General features: G+C 39.7%; 1 protein-coding gene and 1 pseudogene across 4 annotated transcripts; both read right to left on the bottom strand.

The window, feature by feature from the left end:
- YWHAZP9 (tyrosine 3-monooxygenase/tryptophan 5-monooxygenase activation protein zeta pseudogene 9) lies at positions 840-4,094 on the bottom strand (annotated as a pseudogene).
- On the bottom strand, positions 10,296-24,746 carry MS4A3 (membrane spanning 4-domains A3). 4 transcript variants are annotated; one of them, NM_006138.5, is made up of 7 exons: positions 24,671-24,746; positions 20,095-20,265; positions 18,806-18,943; positions 17,093-17,149; positions 14,299-14,460; positions 11,736-11,837; positions 10,296-11,207 (listed from the first exon to the last, which is right to left on the bottom strand). In NM_006138.5, the coding sequence occupies exons 2-7, from the start codon at positions 20,248-20,250 to the stop codon at positions 11,178-11,180; spliced, it is 645 nt and encodes a 214-aa protein (NP_006129.4). In that variant the 5' UTR covers positions 20,251-20,265; positions 24,671-24,746; the 3' UTR covers positions 10,296-11,177. The 4 variants fall into 4 exon arrangements, with proteins under 4 accessions (NP_006129.4, NP_001026979.1, XP_011543665.1 ...); NM_001031809.2 differs by lacking the exon at positions 18,806-18,943; XM_011545363.4 differs by lacking the exons at positions 20,095-20,265; positions 24,671-24,746 and adding an exon at positions 19,857-19,888.

Below are 24,746 nucleotides of genomic sequence, written 5' to 3'. Positions count from 1 at the left end.
ATTTGTTAAGAGGACTGTTAAGTGTTAACTCATGTTAAGTGTTCTTACCGTAATAAAAAAATTATGAAGTTGTACACTATTTGTACATTTTTCTGTACCTTTCACATACCTCAATATAATGTATTTTGAATAAAATATCAATTTGTCTTTTCCTCTTTCAGGCATGTCCTATTATTTATGATCTATTACAAATTTTCATTACTATTTTCCATGGCAAGTATCTATTTAGCCACAATTTTTGTTTTTGTTATAATGTGGGTGGCTGGCTGGAGGTTTCCATGTTTGCTTATTCCCCTGCCCCAGCTTTTAAATATGTAATTGACACAGGTTGTATATATTTAAGATGTACAATGTAATGACTTGATAAACATATACATTGTATAATGACTACTATAATCAAATTAATTTACATATCCATCACCACCCATGTCATACCTTATGTATTAGTCTGTTCTCACACTCCTATAAAGAACTGCCTGAGACTGGGCAATTTATAAAGGAGGGAGGTTTAATTGACTCACAGTTCCACATGGCTGGGAAGGCCTCGGGAAACTTACAATGATGGCAGAAGGGGAAGCAAATATGTCCTTCTTCACATGAGGGCAGGAAGGAGAAGTGCTGAGGAAAGAGGGAAAAGCCCCTTAAAAAACCGTCAGATCTTGTGAGAACTCACTCAGTGTCATGAGAACAGCCCCCTCCATGATTCAATTACCTCCCACAGGGTCCCTCCCACGACACATGGGAATGATGGAAACTACAATTCAAGATGAGATTTGGGTGGGGACACAGCCAAACCACATCACCTTAGAAACCCAGAACTTGTTAGTCTTTTTTTTTTCCTCCATTGGACTTTTATTTGAATGTAATATTTGGGACAGTTATTCAAAAGGACAAATATTTTCCAACTTAATCTAAGGTCATAATAAAACAAGCAACAAAACAGTGTTTGGGATTTCAATTTCTCACCCTTATAATCAGGACTCAATGCCTCCTGTCATCAATATTTATTGAGCATTTACAATGTGTGAGGCACAATAGAACATAGAGACAACATTGTCCCTGCTCTTGAGGAGATTACATTCTAAAAAAACAAAACAAAACAAAAAAATGCCTCTTTTAAAATGGTTGGTTTGGTGTTTTCTGCAGAGTATTGAGAAAATATTCTGTAGAGCGAACTTTGGATATAACTTTACCCCATCATTATTTAGAGAATAGAGGAAGAGAAAGAGGAAGGATTTTAAAGGCAGACAATGACAGAATATTCAGGATAGATAAGGTTTAAAGAGAGATAAACACAAACTAAGGAGAGGTTTGTTGCAGTAAATAGGATGAGGGAAATAGTTTATGGGATGCAGGCAAAGGAAGCAGAGTGTTTTAAACACTGAGTGGAGCCAGACAGATCATGCGGCCTTTTTCCAAGTAAACGGCCACCAAGTAGGAATGGTTGGTGACAAGAGAGAAGGCTAAAAAAGGAAGGTAATCTTGTGCTCCTGAAAAATAGAAAGAATAAAGGATCAAAATCAAAGGCAGCCTATAATAGTATCTATAAATTATTCTTAAAAAATCAAAAGTGATTTGGAAGCCCAAAACTTACAGTTAATGCTACCCAATGTCATGATGGACCAAGAACATTGTGGCTTCCTAAGTTAGAAAATGCTGTATATTAAAATTTAAAAAGGAACATATTACTTTTTTCCAATCAATCCCCTTCCACTAGAAAAAACAGAAACTCATTTTTTTCAGGGTGAGGAGGAGCAGAGGGGAACATGGGGCATGGCTGCAAACAGTAGTTATGTTAGTAGTATTTTTGCTATGATAAATTTTGTGTTTAAACTTGGTAAAATTTCATTAACTGCCAAGGGAGAATGAGGAATAAATTTCAAAAAATGGACAATTTCCTTTAGAGAAATTTCAGAATCAAAAGACTAATTTACATGAAAAGCTATAGAGAAAGCAGCTGGAAAGTCTATTTATACAGCGTTTATTCCACTTACATGAACATAATACATGTGTTATTAACAATTATGTTGGATTGTCCATAAAAATTTCATAAGATATGAAACAAAACTGTGCATCATGTCCAGTTACTTCTCTGTTAACTACTTTTACAGTACATGCATGTGAGGCAAGTATCAAAAAAAGGCATAAAAGAAAAAACACTTTAACAATTAAATACTTTTTTTTTAATTTTACTGATTTGCTTGATGTACATGAAGTAATGACTATCAAGCAATTCGCTTTTACTGCATCTTTACTTTTACATTTGTTCTTAGGTTGCCTAAAACATTTAAATACAAAGATAATGAGCGTAGCAAAAATACTGAAAGCAAACAGCAGTGAACTTTACAAATATGGAATATAAACCACTTCTGCCCGTATCCAGAGTAAATTGGTCTCAGCTCTGTCTAAAGGAGCACTTCTGCAGCTGTAGTCAAATGTGTGCACGTTGAGATTGAGTACTCTGCAGATATATGTGGTTTAACATGTGATATCCATAGCATATCTGTTTCTACCACAGCCTTGTAAGTGCTCCAGACCTTAAAGTACCCACAGTTACTATATCTGTGACTGGAACGAATTATCCCTTTTATTCCCCATGGGGACAAATCAATATGTAGGCAGTTTTCTTCACTCAGACATGGAAGCAGTTTTAACTCTGGACATTGTGAAGTCACAATGTACCAAAAGTCCTATGCCAAACATTTATAACTTGTATAAAAATTCCACATCCCCATATTTGCCATCTCAAGATGAAAAAAGATAACTCGCTAAATGTTGACTGGCTCTAATCTTCTAATATTAAACATAAAAACCACATGGGAAATATTAAAATTTAAATAGAAATTCCATATCTTGGCCATTCTGAATATTGCTGCAATACACATAAACCTGTCATAAAGCTAAACAAAAAACTATTTGTGGGACAGCATGGATGACAAATGGTCTACTGTGTAAATTTTAGGATGAGGCAGAAAAAAGTCGGAGGGCTGGTTAACTTTTTCTTCCTCTTGCTTCAGTTTCATCTCCTTGAGTATCCAATGTCCACAGTGTCAAGTTGTCTCTCAGTAACTGCATTAGCAGGCGATCTTTGTATGACTCTTCACTTAATGTATCAAGTTCAGCAAGGGCTTCATCAAAAGCTGCCTTTACAAGTGAATGAGATTTCTCTGGGGAGTTCAGAAGCTCATAATAGAAGACAGAGAAGTTTAGAGCCATACCCAATCTGATAGGATCTGTTGGTTGCATTTCCTTTTTGGTGATTTCACAAGCTTCTTGGTATGCTTGTTGTGACTGATCTAGGATCCCTTTTGTGTCATAACCAGCAGCAGCCTCAGGCCAAGTAAAAATAGTAGTCTCTTTGTTGTTGTTGTTGTTGTTGTTGTTGTTGTTGTTGTTGTTGTTGTTGAAATGGAGCATTGCTCCCTCCCCCAGGCTGGAGTGCAATGGCGCGGTCTCGGCTCACTGCAACCTCCACCTCCCGGGTTCAAACGATGCTTCTGCCTCAACCTCCTGAGTAGCTCAGACTACAGGCGCATGCCACCACGACCGGTTAATGTTTGTATTTTTAGTAGAGATGGGGTTTCACCATATTGGCCAAGCTGGTCTCGAACTTGTGATCTCGTGATCCGCCCGCCTCGGCCTCCCAGAGGGCCGGGATTACAGGCGTGAGCCACCACACCCAGCCCTCCTTCATTTTTAAATAGAATATTTTGCTCTCTGCTTCTGAGGCATTGGAGATCAAGAACTTTTCCAAAAGACATAGTACATAGCACATCATTGTAGATATCTCTTAGCTCCTTCTCAATTTTCTCTCTGTATTCTCAAGGCATCTGCTGTTTTTTTCTCAGCACCTTCTGTCTTTTGCTCAATACTTGAGATGACCCTGCAAGATGACCTACAGACTCCTACAACATTTTTATAAGGAACTGAAAGACGATTCCTCTCCTCATTGGATAATTCGCCTTCTTTCTCAGTTAGGGACTTCATGCAGACTGCAGTGTCATCATATTGCTCAGCTTACTCGCCAGTTTGTCCTTCTGAACCAGTTCATTTTTATCCATGACTGGATGCTCTGTGTCCGGAGTAGGTGGAAGTAGACGGACAGGGGTTCAGCAGTCTCTAGGCAGCAGCAGCCGCAGCAGGAAGCTGAGATTCTGTCCCTGGATCTCGCTGCTCGAAAGCTCCTGTTTATTTTGTAACTGAAGTTTTGTACCCTTTAGCCAAACTTCCCTCCCGTCCCCTGCTCCCCAGTCTCTGATAATCATCGTTCTACTCTCTGCTTTTATTAGTTCAAATTTTTTGGGTTTCACAAATAAATGAGCTCATACAGTATTTGTTTTTCTGTGCCTAGCTTATTTCACTTAGAATAATGACTTCCAGTTCCATTCGTGTTATCACAAATGGAAGGATTTCCTTCCTTTTTATCACTAAAAAATATATTCCATTATATATGTATTCCACATTTTCTTTATCCATTTATCTGTTCATGGATAGTTAGGATGTTTCCATATCTTGGCCATTGTAAATATTGCTGCAATGAACGTGGGAGTACAGATATCTCTTCAGCACACTGATTTCAATTCCTTTGGATATATACCAGAAGTGGGATTGCTGGACCTATTTTTAACTTTTTGAGAAACCCCCACACAGTTTTCCCTATGGCTGTACCAATTTATGTTCCTACCAACAGTGCACAAGGGTTCGCTTTTCTCTATACCCTGGCCAACACTTGCTATCTTTGGTCTTTTTGATAATAGCTCTTCTAACAGCTGTGAGGTGATAGCTCATTATGGTTTTGATTTGTATTTCTCTAATAATTAGTAATGTTGAGCATGTTTTATGTAGCTGTTGGCCACATGTATGTCTTCTTTAGAAAAATGTCTATTCAGGTCATTTGCCCATTTTTAAAAATAAGGTTATGTGGTTTTTTTCTTCTGAATTGTAGGAGTTCCTTACATATATTGCATATTTACCTCTTATCAGATAAATGGCTTGCAAATGTTTTCTCCCATTCTATATATTGACTTTTCATTTTGTTAGTTTCCTTTGCTATGCAGAAACTTTTTAGTTTGATGTGACTCCAGTTATTTATTTTTGCTTTTGTCACCTGTGCTTTTGGTGTCTTATCAAAAAAATTATTGCCAAGACCAATGTCAAGGAGATTTCCCTATGTTTTCTTTTAGAATTTTCATCATCTCAGATCTTACACTGAAGTCTCTAATTCATTTTGAGTTAATTTGTGTATATGGTATAAGGGTCCAATATCACTTTGTTCCATGTAAATATCTAGCTTTCCTAACACCATTATTTTTGTCTCAAATTTCCCAATTCTAAAACTATCTTGATTTTGTATACTTGTTTGATTTTCACTGGCACAGCAGTTATCCAAGCTCATATTATTGTCCAACTTTACACTGTTAATACCATTCTTACTGGGTTTCTTTTTTACATATTCACTTATGTACCACTGGGTTTCTTTTTTACATATTCACTTATGTACCAGCCCTCTCAAAGCTGTTATTCATAATGCAGCCATAGTGACCTTTCAAATTGGCATTATTAGTAATATCACCATCCTCTGAAATCCATTCCATAACACCCATTGCTTTATGACTGGATCTCTGCCTTCACTCCTTCTCACCCTACTGCCTCCATATGAATAGATATATAGATATAGTATTTTCCAGAATATCATATGAAAAGACTATATCTATATATCTATTAATATGGAAAATAGTTTGGTTGTTACCAGAGTTTGGGGTGGGGAGAGAAGTTGATTTTCAAGAGATTACAGAAGGGAACTCTTAGGATGATGAAACTGCTTTGTATGGTACTATGGATACATAACTCTATGTTTCGTTAAAACTGATAAAATGATGTTTTGCAAATAATGAACTTTACTGTAGGCTAGTTTAAAATAAAAATTCACCAAGATACCTATGGAATGCAGGATGAAATTTAAACTGTGAAAAATAAATTAAACAACATTAGAAATGCATGCCAACCTCACCGAAAGAGGTAGAGGTTAAAAGGAGCTGGCCTAAGTACCTATAAAAAACAACTACTCTGACTGCATACCTTAAAGCTAAGGATAAAAAGAACTGTACACAAACAGTGTACTCTAGGTGGTAAATTTATTTCTCACAAAAATACTGGTTAGCAATTCTGAAATGAATTTACATGTATACTAATGTTAAACAGGTAAGGAAATAAATTGTGGAAATTGTTGCCAGATTTATTATATTCAGAAAACAGGTTATAAATAAGCAAGGTTGAGAGGTTGCTAGAATGGACCCTGTGTGGCCATATTTGAGTGGAATTTATCAGTAGGAATTCATGATGGAGAGAGAGAGATGGATAGATACATACATATGATAATAAATATAGACATGTGCATGCATGGGTCAGTGTACATGCATATATTTCTTAGCTTTGTCTCCTGAGGGGGGCTAAAAGCAGTGACATACAGTAGCAATGAGCACATCTTGCCTCCAGGTCAGGTTTTCTAAATATAGTTCTCTAAGTAAAGAAACCAGGGCTCCCTGAAGAAATGAAAATTCTAGGTCTGTAGCAGGTGAAATAACATGAAGAATCCTGTAGTTCCAGAAAATATGGAAGTGCTAAAAAGGGGAGAGTGGGGTGCAGCATGTCAAAACTACACAGGAGCCAACTCAGCTCCCAATGGCCAAAGCTGGAAAACTTTGAGAAACAAAACAAATATTGCTCATAACCAAAAGAATAATATAAATATTCATGAGTACATAACAATATAAATACTTTAATAAACAAATGAAAGAAGATACAAATCTTCCTTACTGAAACATTTAAATGATAAATAAAGGAGAAATGAGGGAAACAAAATCACCTTTTGAACAACACAATGGTATTTGCTGCAGGCAAAATCTACACATGAATCCTAAAACTTGTGGTTTTTCCCCATCTCTGTGGTGTAAATCCTCCCATCAGAGCTAACTTCAGGCTACCCAAACTATGTTGACCTGTGCTCCCTGAAAATTTAAAATTGACTTCCACAAACCAATATAAGCCAGTCTCAGGACATTCCTGTGTAAATTTCTTTCTTTTTTTTTTTTTTAGATGGAGTCTCACTCTGTTGCCCAGGCTGGAGTGCAGTGGCGCAATCTCAGTTCACTGCAACCTCTGCCTCCCAGGTTCAAGCGATTCTCCTGCCTCAGCCTCCTGAGTAGCTGGGATTACAGGCACATGCCACCACACATGACCAATTTGTGTATTTTTAGTAGAGACGGGATTTCACCATGTTGGCCAAGCTGGTCTCAAACTCCTGATCTCAAGTGATCCACCCATCTTGGCCTCCCAAAGTGCTGGGATCACAGGTGTGAGCCACCGTGCCTGGAACCTGCATACATTTTCAATTGCTTCTTAAAACTCATAGTGCTGCCCTCTCCCTCTCCCTCTCCCGCTCCTGCTCCCGCTGCCGCTCCCCACGGTCTCTCTCTCCCTCTCTTTCCACGGTCTCCCTCTGATGCCGAGCCAAAGCTGGACTGTACTGCTGCCATCTCGGCTCACTGCAACCTCCCTGCCTGATTCTCCTGCCTCAGCCTGCCGAGTGCCTGCGATTGCAGGCACGCGCCGCCATGCCTGACTGGTTTTCATATTTTTTTTGGTGGAGACGCGGTTTCGCTGTGTTGGCCGGGCTGGTCTCCAGCTCCTAACTGCGAGTGATCCGCCAGCCTCGGCCTCCTGGGGTGCCAGGATTGCAGACGGAGTCTAGTTCACTCAGTGCTCAATGTTGCCCAGGCTGGAGTGCAGTGGCGTGATCTCAGCTCGCTACAACCTCCACCTCCCAGCCGCCTGCCTTGGCCTCCCAAAGTGCCAAGATTGCAGCCTCTGCCCGGCTGCCACCCCGTCTGGGATGTAAGGAGCCCCTCTGCCCCGCGGCCCAGTCTGGGAAGTGAGGAGCGCCTCTTCCCAGCCGACATCCTGTCTAGGAAGTGAGGAGTGTCTCTGCCCGGCCGCCCATCGTCTGAGATGTGGGGAGCGCCTCTGCCCCGCCGCCCCGTCTGGGACGTGAGGAGCGCCTCTGCCCGGCTGCGACCCCGTCTGGGAGGTGAGGAGCGTCTCTGCCCGGCCGCCCCATCTGAGAAGTGAGGAGCCCCTCCGCCTGGCAGCCGCCCCATCTGGGAAGTGAGGAGCGTCTCTGCCTGGCAGCCACCCTGTCCGGGAGGGAGGTGGGGGCAGCCCCCGCCCGGCCAGCCGCCCCATCCAGGAGGGAGGTGGGGGGTCAGCCCCCACCAGGCCAGCCGCCCCGTCTGGGAGGGAGGTGGGGGGCGCCTCTGCCCGGCCGCCCCTTCTGGGAAGTGAGGAGCCCCTCTGCCCGGCCACCAACCTGTCTGGGAGGTGTACCCAACAGCGCATTGAGAACGGGCCATGATGACGATGGCAGTTTTGTGGAATAGAAAAGGGGGAAAGGTGGGGAAAAGATAGAGAAATCAGATTGTTGCTGTGTCTGTGTAGAAAGAAGTAGACATGGGAGACTTCATTTTGTTCTGTACTAAGAAAAATTTTTCTGCCTTGGGATGCTGTTGATCTATGACCTTACCCCCAACCCTGTGCTCTCTGAAACATGTGCTGTGTCCACTCAGGGTTCAATGGATTAAGGGCGGTGCAAGATGTGCTTTGTTAAACAGATGCTTGAAGGCAGCATGCTCGTTAAGAGTCATCACCACTCCCTAATCTCAAGTACCCAGGGACACAAACACCTCGGAAGGCCGCAGGGTCCTCTGCCTAGGAAAACCAGAGACCTTTGTTCACTTGTTTATCTGCTGACCTTCCCTCCACTATTGTCCTATGACCCTGCCAAATCCCCCTCTGTGAGAAACACCCAAGAATGATCAATAAAAAAATAAATAAATAAAAAATAAAAAATAAAAAAAATAAAAAAAAACTCACAGTGCTGTCATTTTATAATCTCTTGTGATGTACACCTCTCTCCAAACTTTTATTTTTCCATCTGCCCATTATACACTGAAGTTAGACCCACTAAAGTCTCTAGTTTATTCTTTGAATATTCAAAATTTTTTCTAACTTAAAGGCTTTTAATGTATCCTCTTTTCTTCCATTTGCCTTCCATCATGTTAACGCTCAGTTATCTTTAAGAACTCAGTTGAGAAGAAAAGTGTTCTAAAAAATTATCACTGACATGTCTTCTAATCTGGGTTAGAAGCTCGTCCTACGTGCTTCTCAAGATTCCTATACTCTTCCTATGAGAGCCCTTGTGTGTTTCTAGGGGTCTGTATCTCCCACTACAAGCAACTTAAGAGCAGAGATTTTGCATCATTCTCTATTATATGCCAAGCTCTTAGCACAATACGTGACACACTGTAGGCACTCCCTAAATGATTGTTGAATTAGAACAGGAATTAAAAGAAATTAAAGAATGTGTAAGCAAAAGCTCGGTTGTATGTAAGAGAAACCCAATTCCCCCTGAAGAAGAGAAAGAGCTGGAGTCCTTTAAAATTAACTGCCTGTTTTTCTGCGGCTAGTGAGCCTTATCTCTCCCTTTCCCAGGCATTGTGAAGACCCTATTTCTCTAGCTGTGCAGGTGCAAGGTCACTAGGCAGATAAACTCAAGTCGTAAAACATGTTTTTCCTTGAAAAAATAAGAAATAATGTAATACATGTCTTAATTGAATAACTGTCTTTGTTTCTCACTTCTGTAATATGCTTCCCCCTGCACAGATCGTCCCCCGCTGCACAAAATGCTTAAAAGGTAACCGGACTCTTTGTTTGGGGCTCAGTCCTTTGGATGTTAATCCGACTGGGTCGGTGCACCTAAATAATTAAATAATTCCTCCTCAACCCCTCAGTCTCTCTGGTTCCTTAATTATCCCGCTGCAGAATGGATTAAAAAATAAAGAAATAATTATTATATAAGTAGGATACAAGTGTTAGAAAAGAACCTTTGCACATACGATATACACGTAACTAAGAATAAATTATTGGTATAAATTTATGGACACAATAAGTGCTTATATTTCTTATTCATAAATTTTATTTTTCTTGGATATTTATGAATAAGAAATATAAGTGCTTTAGCAGATTTATAAACGAGGAACTGAGGGAAGTTTTCACGCCACATTGCCACCTCGAAAAGATGGCTATTGGAGTTGTTGGAGGTTATACGAGGAGCCACAATGGAAGTGTAAGTAAGTTTTCCACTGTATCTCTCCAGCACATCTGACCACAATCCCACCTTAGCTTTCACCAGCAACAGCAAGACCAACAACAACAGCAACATCATTGTCAAGTACCTGTGGTGCTGTTTCACATTTTCTTTTTATTTTCATTTAACCCTCAGAGCAACCGACAAAGTAGTTGTTATTATTACACCTATTTTACAGATGAGGAAAAATAGATCAGAGAGATTAGATAATTTGCCCATGTTCATACAGGTAATAAGTGACAGTTTCAGAATTTGAACCCAGATGTGTCAGATTCTAAAGGCCTTATTCTTTAGTTCTCTACTTTACAGTTTCCCATTGTCCTTTGAAGAACACATTTGGGCTTGCTCTCAGACTCGCCAACATAAATCATCATTTACATATCAGGGCATGTGTGAGTTCCAGCAGTTCACTGAAATAAAATCCCTGAGCCTTAACCCTCCCATCTCAAATACAGTGAAAATTTATTTTAATGATAATGATGGTAATTTTTTATTTGACACTTTTTATAATGCTGATGTTAAAGTCAAGAAGCATTTCTCTGTAATGGAAAAAATGTCTCATTTTTCTTCCTACTGGGCGGTCAGAAGTTGGATTTTAGAAAAAATATATTGAATAGGGATTATACCGCCTTCCTTCCTTAAACCTCATAAAGCAATGGAGTAGGTGGATAAGAAGAAATAGAACCAATTTCTGGAAACAACTTTGGAGTAATGATCATAGAAGTTACAGATATCCAAGAATGCCTAAAGAAATATATCTGTCCTTCCATACCCACGACACACAAATAGGATTTATAGTTAGGAGAGAAAGGATAGAGTCAGTCAAACGTCCAAGGTTCTTGTGATTGGTGCCATGATAGAAGGATTGAGCTTTACGAGCAGGCTTATGTTCTCCTGAGTTTGTGGGTGAAGCTCTGAGTCACTGGAGATTTAAGGTCAAATATTCATGCTCTCAGAATTAAGGAGGTATTCTTGATTACACAGAATTGGGAGGTGAGGAAATTTCCTAGAAAATAAAACAACATTAATGTCCAAGAACAGGATCATTATCTCCTTCTCCTCCCATCCCTTCCTGTTATCATCATAATCATCAACAATAAAATCCATTCATTGATGTTTACTGTGCCAAATGCCATAAAGATTATATACACAGTACTCACAACAAACATTAGAAGAGAATGAAAATATTATTTTCATTTTACAGTTAATATATCTAAAATTTAGAAAGAATTATTAATTTTTCCTAGGTCATACAATTAGAAAGTTACAAGTTATAAGAAAATAATAAAACTTAATTACAGCTGTATAAGAAAGTATGCTCTTATATATCAAGTACAGTATTTCCTCTTGCATGTTCACATCCAAATTCTTTTCTACCCTTCATTCCATCTCTAACATTCATACAATCTCTAATTCCAGGAACTCCACAAATCATTACCACATAAAGGTTTATTTCTAAGCATCAGAAACAACTTCAAACCCTACAGGGAGGCTTTGAGATCATGTGAATGATTAATCATTTGAAAAATCTCACCTCTCTTGAATTACAGCAGTTTGCATTGCACCACATGGCTATGGTAGAGATGGTTACGCATAATTCCAGCAAGGTGAGAATCAGCAGTAGAGACACCATGCCCTAGGGGATATGATGCCTTATATCAAACCCAGTGGCAACATCCAGAGGTAAAAAAAAAAATGTCAGCAGGAAACCAGACTACAACATCTCCCTCCCGTAAAGTGGAACAAAGTGAACCATAAATTAAAGACAGAGACACATATAACACTGTAGAAGAGATAGTATCTCAATCTAAAAGCATGAAAACATTTTCTCTAATGAGAAAGATGTGTCACATTTCTATGTCAACGCATGTGAAGTAGCTACAGGGGGAAGAAGCTGTAGAAACAAAATTCTGACATTATCACTAACATCTTCCAATCTGAATAGTAGTAAACTAAGGAGAGGAGTAGGCAGTTTAGAAAAATGAACAAAAATGGCCCTTCCACAATTTCATTAGCACTTCATAGGGGTTTAGGCATTTACATTATCCCTAGAAACTAAAACACTGAGCTAATATAAACAAAAAATAAAATTGTTGGGCTAATGATTCTACTATTATTACTGAGGCACCTAGAAGCAACCAATACAATATATCCCTGGAGGAAAAATACCTCCAAATTCACAGAAAAATCAGGCTCCGACAAATATAAATTTAGATCATTAAAAATGTAATAAAGAAAATGAGAACACAAACTTCCATAAGTAGTGTCTCACCCATAGGTGGGAACTGAACAATGAGAACACTTGGACGCAAGGCGGGGAACATCACACACCAGGGCCTGTCGTGGGGTGGGGGGCTGGGGGAGGGATAGCATTAACAGAAATACCTAATGTAAATGACATGTTAATAGATGCAGCAAACAAACACGACACATGTATACATATGTAACAAACCTGAACGTTGTGCACGTGTACCCTAGAACTTCAAGTATAATAATAATAATAAAAAGAAAACAGGAAGCTTAGGAGTGAGTCTGTAATTAACAGTTCATAGATCACTGGGATGAAATGGATAATTCCAAAGGAAAATATTAATTTCTAAGTAGAGTTCAGAAGAGGTAGAGTACCTGAACACAAATTTTTAAAAAATTGGTAAGGTTGGCTGGGCGCGGTGGCTCATGCCTGTAATCCCAGCACTTTGGGAGGCAGAGGCGGGCGGATCACGAGGTCAGGAGATCGAGACCATCCTGGCTAACACAGTGAAACCCCGTCTCTACTAAAAATACAAAAAAAAAAAAAAAACAATTAGCCGGGCGTGGTGGCGGGCGCCTGTAGTCCCAGCTACTCGGGAGGCTGAGGCAGGAGAATGGCGTGAACCCAGGAGGCGGAGCTTGCAGTGAGCCGAGATGGCGCCACTGCACTCCAGCCTGGGTGACAGAGCAAGACTCCGTCTCAAAAAAAAAAAAAAAAAAAGGTAAGGTTATTAAAGAGCTTTCCTTTGAAAACACCATGCTAATTTCATTCTAAAGCGCAGTCCTTCAAAACTTCAAGTCATTATTTGAACATTCCAGATTGCAGAGAAAGTTGTAAATCTCTCAAGTTTGTTTTATTAAGCAAGGAGATATGAAATGAAACTTTATTTTTTTATTTTTTTATTTTTTGAGACAGTTTCACTCTTTTTGCCCAGGCTGGAGTGCAATGGCGCAATCTCGGCTCACCGCAACCTCCGCCTCCCGGGTTCAAGTGATTCTCCTGCCTCAGCCTCCCAAGTAGCTGGGATTACAGGCGCCTGCCACCATGCCCGGCTAATTTTTTTTTTTGTATTTTTAGTAGAGACGGGGTTTCACCATGTTGGCCAGGGTGGTCTCGATCTCTCGACCTCGTGATCCGCCTGCCTCGGCCTCCCAAAGTTCTGGGATTACAGGCGTGAGCCACCGCGCCCGGTGAAATGAAACTTAAAAAAAAATCTCTCTGGGGAGTGTAATAGTAGTAGTTGTGGTAATAATAATTGTGTATCATGATATGCTAAGCCTTGTTTTAATTGCTTATCATATGTTAACTTTTTAAATACTCACATAAATCCTATGAGACGGGTACTATTGTTATCCTCATTTCAAAAATGAGAAAATTCAAGGGATTATCTAATTTGCCCTTCATTATAAAGCAAATAGGCGACAGACCCAAGATTCAAATTATGGGATGGGCGCGGTGGCTCACGCCCCTTATCCCAGCACTTTGGGAGGCCGAGGCGGGCGGGTCACGAGGTCAGGAGATCAAGACCATCCTGGTTAACACGGTAAAACCCCGTCTCTACTAAAAAAATACAAAAAATTAGCTGGGCATGGTGGTGGCCGCCTGTAGTCCCAGCTACTCGGGAGGCTGAGGCAGGAGAATGCTGTGAACCCAGGAGGGCGGAGCTTGCAGTGAGCCGAGATCACTCCACTGTACTCCAGCCTGGGCGACAGAGCGAGACTCCGTCTCAAAAAAAAAAAAAAAAAAGATTCAAATTATGGCACATTGGTACCTGATATATTATTTTTCTGTACATCCTGGATTGTTTGAAATATTTTATACTTATACATATTTTTCAGAAACATACATTTGATATGGAGCCCATGTAATTGCATAGGTCCGGTGACTCTGATGAAGAGTGACAACTCCTTAATGACTGGATATTAACTGCTATATTTAGTGAGAGAAAAGCAGTCCCCACTAGTGCAATTGTAGCACTGGCAATGTTCATTCCAAAACTGTTCTGTATCTAAAAAAGAATAAGAATTTTCAATTAATATATGCAGCACGTACTTCATTCCTTTGGCAACAATTCATTGAAACAAACATTGATTGAATATTGTTTACACACCCACTGATATCCTAGATGCGAGGCTAACATCAATGACCAAAGAAAGATTTCTGTCCCCCACCCTCCATGGAGCTTATATTCTAGCAATAAAAACAAAGAAAAAAGTAAACATACTATAGGTAAATTACATAATATTTTTGAAAGTGATTAAGTACTAGGGGCTAACAGAATGGGATAAGGAGAATCTGGGAATCCAAAGAGAGGAGTGGGGGTTCATGATATTAAATAGAAATGACACTGGGGAGAGGCATGAAAGAGCTGTGGGTGCCAGCCAGGAGGATATCTGGGGGAATATCCTTGAAATTAGGGAAACACTCAAAATCCTGAGGCCAGAATCTTCTGGGGCAGCAAAGGGGTCAAGGGCGTTGGAGGCACGTAGTCAATACTAGGAAATGAAGAAGAAGGAAAGTTAACAGAGAGCCAAATCATGTGGGGCTCTGCAGATCATGAAAAGGAACTTGTTTCTAACTCTAAGAAAAATACAAAGCCAATGAAGGATTTGGAGCAAATAAATGATATACTTGGCTTTATGGTTTCAAGGGATCACTGTTTCTAGCAAGGCAAAGAGAAGTTCAACGATAAAAGCTAGAAGCCCAATTAGGAGAGACAAGGTGGATTGGATGAAATGTCATCAATAGAAAGATAAGAAAAGGTCAAAACTGGATATAATAATAGCTTGAAAGTAGAGCCAACATTATTTGCTGATAAATAGGATTCAGGATTGTGAAAGAAAGAAGACTCTTGGTTATTCTAAGGTGTTTGGTCTGGGAATCTGGAAGGATGACATTCCCATCAGCTGACATGAGGAGAAGGTTTGAGGAAGAAGACTGGGAGTTGAGCTTTGGATCTTTACATGCCAGTCTGATGATCAGGAGAGACACCTGGGCTGGAAATACTTATTTCAGGGTTGTGGGCATACAGATATTACTTGAAGTCATAAGAATGTGTGAGATCACAGAAGAAGTACGTATAGATTGAGAAGAGCAGGTGGCAAAGAATTCAGCTCTGGGGCACCAGAACATTAAAAGGTCAGAGACAAGGAGAGGAACCAGGAAAGGAGACTGAGATGGAGAAAGCAAAAGATGGGAGGAAAACCAGCCAAGCAATGTATGCTGGAAGCCAAGTGAGGAAATTCCTGGAAGGAGGAGTGGGCGACTAACTATGCTAAATGCTACTCATAGCTTAAGTTAGATGAGGAACAAGAGTTGACCGTTGTTTTAGCAGGGTGGAAGTTTTCAGTGATCTTAAAGACAGCAGTTACAGAAGGATAGTAGGGAATAAAATAAAGTCTTATTGAAGTGGGTTTGATTCAAACCGGTAGATGGAAATCAGAGAAAGAACATGATGATTCCTTTGAAGGAGTTTAGCTACAGAAGGAAAATACAAATTGTGCCTGTCCCTAGCAGGGAGAAATAATGTCAAGGTTTTCTTGTTTTGTTTTGTTTTGTTTTGTTTTTAAGTTGAGAACAGTAACTGGATGTTTACATGCTGATTAGAGATGGGGCAAGGTAACTCACGCCTGTAACCCCAGCCTTTTGGGAGGCTGAGGCAGGAGGACTGCTTGAGCCCAAGATTTTGAGACCAGCCTGGGCAACATGGCAAGATCCTGTCTCTACAAAAAAAAAAAAAAAAAAGACAAAAATTAGCCAGGGATGGTGGCACACACCTGTAGTCCCAGCTATGTGAGAGGCTGAGGTGGGAGGATTGCATGAGCCCTGGAAGGTGGAGGCTGTAGTGAGCTGTGACCACACCACTGCACTCCCATCTGGGTGACAGAGTGAGACTCGAAAAATATATATATAGCAGAGAGACAAAAATTAAAGTGATGCACTTGTGTGGGGAAAAAAAGAATGGAATCTTATACTCAAGTAGGGAGATCAGCTTTAAAGAAAATCACAAAATTTTCCTATGGTAAGAGGCTAGAAGAAAAAAATACATTGGTACAGATCTAGTCCATTAGTAGTGGAGGTCTGAAAATTCCCTTCTAATGGCTTCAGTTTTCTCAGAAGAGACAGAAAAATCATCAGCAGAGAGTAAGGATGACAGAAGTGGGATTGGTGTTTGAGGATACAATAAAATGGTAAAATAGCTATCCATGGAGGAGGGAAAGTGAATGAATGGAGTAGGAAAGTGGAGTATCAGTGGCTACGTGACTCACTAAGAACACATCATAGAGACTTAGCAGTTGTTTAGAATAGAAGTTTGGACTTTCAGTTGTCAAACTAGTTAGTGGTGGGAGTTCTTACTTCCAAATAATTAGAATTGGTCAAACTTGACAACACATAAAAATCAAGAAGACTTTTTCTAAGCTTCAAGTTCACCAATATTAAGAGCAAGCATCCCAGGAATGCATCCTCACAATGTATGTGATCTGCTGACCTACCATCTGAACACGTTAAGAAAACTAATATTTTGTGCATTAAATGATACTCAGTGTCTCAGTTGTATTCATGGACACTTACTGTCCTACTGTTTATGAATAATATATTTCTACTCCTCTGATCATAGAAAAAGAGGAAGTGCTACTTACCCATGTTCTTGTGGGTTTTATCCCTGCTACAACAGACAAGGTTCCTGAACTACAGAACTGTTTGAAAATAGGAAGGAAAACAGATAAAGGAATATTAAGTCTCAACCATTTTCTTCTTGGTCCTCCCTCAATTAGCAGATATCCAGCAATAGTCATACAAACCTCCCTTTTAAATTCACATCCTAGGACACAGAATTGTACTTGATGCTGCTCACTTTATTTATTTATTTATTTATTTATTTATTTATTTAGTCTTTCCATGCAATTAGTTTTATTCATTTTATTTTTTAAATTTTTTTTATTTCCATACGTTATTGGGGAACAGGTGGTGTTTGGTTACATGGATAAGTTCTTTAGTGGTAATTTGTGAGATTTTGGTGCACCCATCACCCAAACAGTATACACTGCACACAATTTGTAGCCTTTTATCCCTCACCTCCTTCCCACCTTTCCCCCTGAGTCCCCAAAGTCCATTGTGTCATTCTTATGCCTTTGCATCCTCATAGCTTAGCTCCCGCTTATAAGTGAGAACATATGATGTTTGATTTTCCACTCCTGAGTTACTTCACTTAGGATAATGGCTTATGCAAGGATTTAATGACGAAGAAGCCAAAAACAAATGCAATAAAATCAAAGATAAATAGCTGGGACCTAATTAAACTAAGGAGCTTTTGCACGGCAAAAGGAACAGTCAGCAGAGTAAACAGACAACCCATAGAGTGGGAGAAAATCTTCACAATCTATACATCTAACAAAGGACTAATATCCAGAATCTGCAATGAACCCAAACAAATCACCAAGAAATAAACAAACAATCCCATCAAAAAATGGGCTAAGGACATGAATAGACAATTCTCAAAAGAAGATATACAAATGGCCAACAAACATATCATTCACTTTTTAAAAATGAACCATCAGGGAAGTAATAAATAATCAAAACTGAATGAATACATTTTAAAATCACCCCTATTTCTTCTGATTGAATGTTGACCCAGATAATGGAAATGATTCTTCTGACTTTCAGACAGTAATCAGCAGACAAATTTCTTAACTCTCAAGCCAGGACTCTCTGCTGTACCACAAGGCAATTCATCAATACCCATTTTTCATTCAATTTTTTAAGTATCTATAAATGTAACATATAGTTATATATAAGATAATTTTTAGGACTTCATTTGTACTTGGCAAATGTGGTTTCTCTTAATCAGAAAGAGATTTTTGGCCTGGCATCAGGGCTCATGCCTGGCAATTCCAGCATTTTGGGAGGCCAAGCTGGGAGGACCACTTGTGGTCAGGAGTTCGAGACCATCCTGGAAAACATGGTGAATCCCTGTCTCTACTAAAAATACAAAAACAAAAATTAGGTGGGCATGGTGGTGCATGCCTGTAATCCCAGCCACTCAGGAGACTGAGGCAAGAGAATCACTTGAACTGGGGAGGCAGAGGGTTTCAGTGGGCAGAGATCATGCCACTGCACTCCAGCCTGGATGGCAGATCGAGACTTTGTCTCAAAAAATAAATTAATTAAGTAATTAATTAAATTAAAAAATAAAAAAGAGTTTATCGTCTCTAATTGTTTATATCAAGAATTGCAAATCAAAACCACAGCATGCAACCTTCCAATAACCTACAAACAATATTTTTGTCATCAAACACATCTCCAGCAGTGGTATCTAAGAAATAACATATAGCCAGGGGAGTACGAATACTCACAAACACAGCACCCCAAATCGGGTAGCCTGTGTAGAAGGTGAAGAAAAAGAAGTGCTTTTGGAAGTGGTATGGGTATTGCAAGGAACCCAGAAAGACACCCAAAGCCAGAATCATTGCTGCATTCAGGATCTGGATGGCCTGAAAGAAGAAAGGGGAAAAAGGCGTAACAGTCATATACTAAAGTGGACACTGAAAACAGGCCATTTTAATTTTCCTCAGAAAGGAGATGTCGGTGCTTGAAATGGTTAAAGTGTCAAGCCTAAATTAACAGAACGAGAGCTTATCTGAAAGAGTTTTTTATTCCACGCTATCCACACCAATTCCAGTGGCAGCATTTTGTCTTCACCTCTCCCCCACATTTCTGTTCATTCTCACGAACTCCTCTCAGAAAGTGGCAGGACAGTAAAACAGACATGATTGGTAAGGTAGATGGAGTCAAAGTCTCTTCCCAGCATGCTTTTGCATCATAATATGATGAAGGCAGACAGAGGATAAGCCATATCCTACTCAGCCTTTCTCTCAACCCAATTTTTAACCCTTCTCTCAACCCAATTTTTAAATTTAAAATATAGAATATAAGCTTCATAGAGCTCAGCCTCCTCAAATGGCTGGTCAAAAGGCACAAAACAAAAAATGAAGGGTCTTGGAATCTGTTCTCCAAGGTTTGATGTTTTCTACCATGAGAAAATGCCTTTGCATTTCTGCTCCCCAGATCTATAAGAAGTCCCTGTCTTTTCTCCAATCATTATTAAGTCAGTGATAAATAACTCAGAATTTCCTCCTTCTCAGCATAAGCAAGGTTTTCTACATGATACAGTTGGCTCTTGAACAACATTGGGGTTTGGAATGCCCACCCTTTCATGGTGGTAAATCCACGTAAAACTTATGACTTCCCAAAAACTTAACTACTAATAGCCTACTGTTGACCAGAAGTCTTACTATTAATATAAACAGTCGATTATCACATATTTTGTATGTGACATATTATATACAATAAGCTAGAGAAACTAAAAACGTTAAGGAAATCATAAGAAAGAGAAAATGTATTTACTATTCATTAAGTGGAAGTAGATTATCATAAAGGTCTTCATCCTCATCCTCTTCACGTTGAATAGACTGAGGAAGAAGAGGGAGAGCAGGGGTTGTTCTTGCTGTCTCGGGATGGCAAACAGAGGTGGAAGAAATCCACATGTAAGGGAATCCTCACAGTTCAAACGCACGTTATTCACAGGTCAACTGTATTTATTTTCTTCCCTCTTAAATCAGTGTTTAAACTAAGGCTGACTTACCCCAAGAACTTGTAATTTTGCTTTCTGATAATCTGGTGATCCATCTATGGGCTGGTAGACAGAAGTATTCAGCTCTTCTGGTCCCGCCTCACTGCCTGGGGTACCATGGGCAGAGGCTGACCCCAGCTCTGCATTATCAACTTCGTGGGAGGCCATTGGGGTTGTTTATGGCTGTGATAGAAAAGAAATCCAAAGCCTTCATGCTTTCCCTTTTTCCACTAGCTACTAAAATTTTGAGTGTTACAGAAGGGTTCAATTCTGTCCATACATTACAATGACTCTCCACAAATGGGACACCAGGGCAGAGTAACAGAGTTTGTACAATATTCAATTCTGTCTTGCCTTGGAGTAGTAGACATCATCGGGTCATTGTAGTAGGCCTTGGTGCTTCACTTAACTTTGGAATGGTAAAGAGCAATTTCTTTCTCATTTTGCATGCACTGATATATAGTCCCTGCCTTTCTTCAAGTCAGTCAAGGGCAACCAGACATATGGTTTCTCTGAGCAGTGGTCTCTTTATAAGAATAATGGCTTTAGTCACATTCCAGTAATAATAGTAGGTGTCATTTATTTAGTACTTATTACTATATGCCAAGCACTGTCTGGATGCTGTGAATGTATTAATATACTTAATCCTGTTATAATATTATTATTATTCCCGTTTCACAGATGAAAAAAATTGAGGTATAGAGAGACCGAGAAACTTACCCAAACTCATATGGCTTATAAATCATTTCAGATTTTACTAAAAACATTCTACTCTAAGGTCCAATATTTTTCAAATCACCACATTATATAGTACTATATAGAAGACGTCTTTCTGAGTACCAACATAGCATGGTAGAGTTTAAGCACTATGGAAGATCCAAATTCAAATCCAGATTTCATCATTTACTAGTTGCATGACCTAGTAATGGGAACCTCAGTTTTCAGAGTTTAAGCACTATGGAAGATTCCAATTCAAATCCAGATTTCATCACTTACTAGTTGCATGACCTTGTAGTGGGAACCTCAGTTTTCACTTCTGTAAAAATGGGAATAATTTTAATTTTATATTAACATTGCGAGAGTTGACTTTGATAATGTACGGAATTCTCAACCTGTGAACAGGTGGTATCAGCTTTTAACTTATACTCTGCCTTCTAACAAAAAGGACTTCAAGTTTGTATATATATAAGGGTCACAAAACAACCACCTCAATCATTACAGCTGAAAAATATGTATCACTAAAGTACACACAGAATGCTTACATTGGACTTCTGAATGTTGGGCAAGATAACTTCCTAATTCATAGTACCCTCCTACACAAAATAGTTGTAAAATGCTTATATGCTTTTATAACTGATGAGGGAGATGGCATGAGATGAACCATAAACAAACACATAAAATGATGCTGTATTCTGCCATAACTATCGATTGGGTTAAGAATAAGATCTTAATATAAATCATTCTACCATAAAACACATGCACGTGAATGTTCATTGCAGCACTATTCACAATAGCAAAGACATAGAATCAACCTAAATGTCCATCATTTGTAGACTGGATGAAGAAAATGTGGTACATACACACTGTGGAATACTATGCAGCCATAAAAAGGAATGAGATCATGTCTTTTGCAGGAACATGGATGAAGTAGAAGCCATTATCCTTAGAAAGCTAATACAGGAACAGAAAACCAAATACCACATATTCTCACTTATAAGTGGGAGCTAAATGCTAAGAACAAATGGACACATAGAGGGGAACAAAACAACTGGAGATTATCAGAGAGAGGAGGGAGGAGATCGGGAAAAATAACTATTGAGTACTAGGCTTAGTACCTGGGTGACAATCTGCACAACACACCCCTGTGGCACGAATTTACCTATATAACGAACCTGTACATGTACCCGTAAACCTAAAATAAAAGCTTTTTATTGAAAAAGAAAGTATAGTATCTTAATTTCTACTCTTTGTTACAAATTATATACTAGATCCATTTTTCTAATAACTTAATTTTTTGTCAAGCTAAATACACGCCACTTTCAGGATGTTTACCTTTCTGATACTCTACTCTGGGGGTGTGTATGACTCATTTAAGTGTGATGACAAATTTACTAAGCATTGACTAAAAGTGAGAGTCAAGCCATGTTTTATTATTACACTGGGAATTGCTATAAAAATTCATAAAATTCTCTACCAATACTGATAAAACATTTATTATAAATGTCATAAAATTTTGCTACCAATACTCTTCATCAAAGTTTCCTACCAATATTGATTTTCATGCCAAGATTAAATTACATTCTGTATGTATTTAAGTATGGATAAATGTGAAATGACAAGGAACCCTTAACCCCCCGTGTTCAACACTGTACAGAACCCAAGAGCGAGGGAAGATCAATAAAGCTTAAAGCAAACTCTATGTGAATAAGTTCCTAACGTAATTATCTGCAAAAAGTATAAATAAGAATAGCCAAAAAGCCAAGACTTCAAATTTATCCACTGGGAAATTTGTGTGTATTTTGGATTAAATATCTAATGAACTAAGATGCATGCAATACGGAGAATGTTGCTGCTTTATGACCAGATAATCTCTCGCCTACGTCTCCTGCCTCACCCCTCACCCATCCCTATCTCAAAACTCCATCCAGCCTTATTTTCTTGATTTGTCTTCCTTCAGAAGTTCTAAACCCTCAAATGTCTTCAATCCTCTGTGCTATCCCCCATTCCTGAAAGACAAGTCCCCTCAAGCTTCACCTGGATAATTTCTGCTCTCCTTCCAGACTGAATTTTTTTTTTTTTTTTTTTTTTTTTTTTTTTTTTTTGAGTTGGAGCTTTGCTCTGTCTCCCAGGCTGGAGTGCAGAGGCCCGATCTCAGCTCACTGCAACCTCCGCCTCCTGGGCTCAAGCTATGATCCTGCCTCAGCCTCCCAAGTAGCTGGGATTACAGGCGTGCACCACCACACCCAGCTAATTTTTGTACTTTTAGTAGAGATGGGGTTTTACCATGTTGGCCAGGCTGGTCTCGAACTCTTGACCTAGGTGATCCACCCACCTCAGCCTCCCAAAGTGCTGGGATTACAGGCGTGAATCAATGCGCCCGGCCCTTCCAGACTGATTTTCAGCCCACATGTCATACTTCCAGGATGCTGTTTTTAGTCCTGGCCAACTCTGGAAGAAGCATGCACCCCTTTGGGTTGCTCTCAAAATTTCCTCAACTTTCCTTCTCATACCACTTAATCAGCCTGAGCTTTAATTGCCTGGATACTTGTCTGTTACCTCGTTGTCTACTCATCACTGCAACTCCAGTGCCTAGCTCAGAATCATCAGATGGCAAGCACTCAGTTAACACACATGTTCAATCAGTAACCAGACTTTTGGTCCAGCCCAAGGTAGCCATCCTGATAAATGATGATGGAAAATACCTCTGCAAGCACTGGAGCCTCTCATCTCAAGAAACTCCAAGAGCATTTCTGAAGAGAGCAAATATCTAACCATATTATTTAACTTGATTTGTTTCAAATAATCAAAATAATCAGGGAGAATTTTCAGCCTCCAGGTGAAACAAACTATGTTTTCTAAAATTTGGTTAAATCAGTTATTTATTTTTAAAAAAATCAGAGAAATGGTCCGGGTGCAGTGGCTCATGCCTGTAATCCCAGCACTTTGGGAGGCAGAGGCGGGAGGATCTCAAGGTCAGGAGATTGAGATCATCCTTGCTAACATGGTGAAACCCTGTTTCTACTAAAAACACATAAAATTAGCTGGTTGTGACAGCACGCGCCTGTAATCCCAGCTACTCAGGAGGCTGAGGCAGGAGAATTGTTTGAACCCATGAGGCGGAGTTTGCAGTGAGCCGAAATCGTGCCATTGCACTCCAGCCTGGGTGACAGAGCGAGACTCTGTCTCTCTCTCACACACACACACACACACACAAAATCAGAGAAATGTAGATTTTCTAGGAAACTGCCAGTTAAGTTCATCTCTCCAGCTCTTAGTATGTGGCAGGCATTTGTTCTAAGGGCTTTATCCATGTTTACTAATTTAGTTCTCACAACATCAGATGAATGGGTACTACTGCTATGATCCTTTCCATCTAACAGATGAAGAAGCTGAGGAACAAAGAAGTTAAGTAGCTTTCCCAAGCCCACACAGCCAGCAATTTGAGAAGCTAAAAATCAGAACCTCAAGCTATCATTACACTCCACTGTCCCCTGAGCTATGCTAAAATGCACTTTGCAGACCCCATACTTCAGGCATATCGAGACCACCCCTCATCATCAGAGCTGGCAGACAAACTCAGGTGCAGCCAGTGGGATTTAATGTACCTAAGAGGTGCGTGTGCATGTGTGTGTATCCATACCCACATTTTCCCAAAGAAATTGCTGTATTATTATGTCTAACACTTTTTATCATGGCTCCAAAGGAATCATCACATCCTAAAGAGAAGCCATGTTCACAGTTAAATGTTCCAAACCTCTACATAGCAACCAAACAGAGACCTTTGCAGACATCCCCAGTAGTCCACTGGGAGGCATTTTAACGAAAGATATAAAAGAAAGGGGAATGTCTATGGAGAGGGAATCTATACCTTGGAGGCTTCAGGCTTTGGCAGACGGCTTTCCTCCCAAGTCCACCTTGTCGCAAGTAGGAGACACTCAGAAAAG

Source organism: Homo sapiens, chromosome 11 (genome assembly GCF_000001405.40).
Source record: "Homo sapiens chromosome 11, GRCh38.p14 Primary Assembly".
Taxonomy (NCBI): Eukaryota; Metazoa; Chordata; class Mammalia; order Primates; family Hominidae; genus Homo; species Homo sapiens.
Note: the sequence above shows the minus strand (reverse complement) of the source record. Positions and strands in the feature narration are given on the sequence as shown.

Coding starts and splice junctions, on each gene's coding strand:
- MS4A3 (NM_006138.5), bottom strand. CDS start 20,250: ATGGCCTCCCACGAAGTTGATAATGCAGAGCTGGGGTCAGCCTCTGCC. Junction 14,461..17,092: donor TAAAACCCACAAGAACATGG/GTAAGTAGCACT, acceptor ATTCTTTTTTAG/ATACAGAACAGTTTTGGAAT. Junction 11,208..11,735: donor ACTGCTGTAATTCAAGAGAG/GTGAGATTTTTC, acceptor TTTATTTTCTAG/GAAATTTCCTCACCTCCCAA.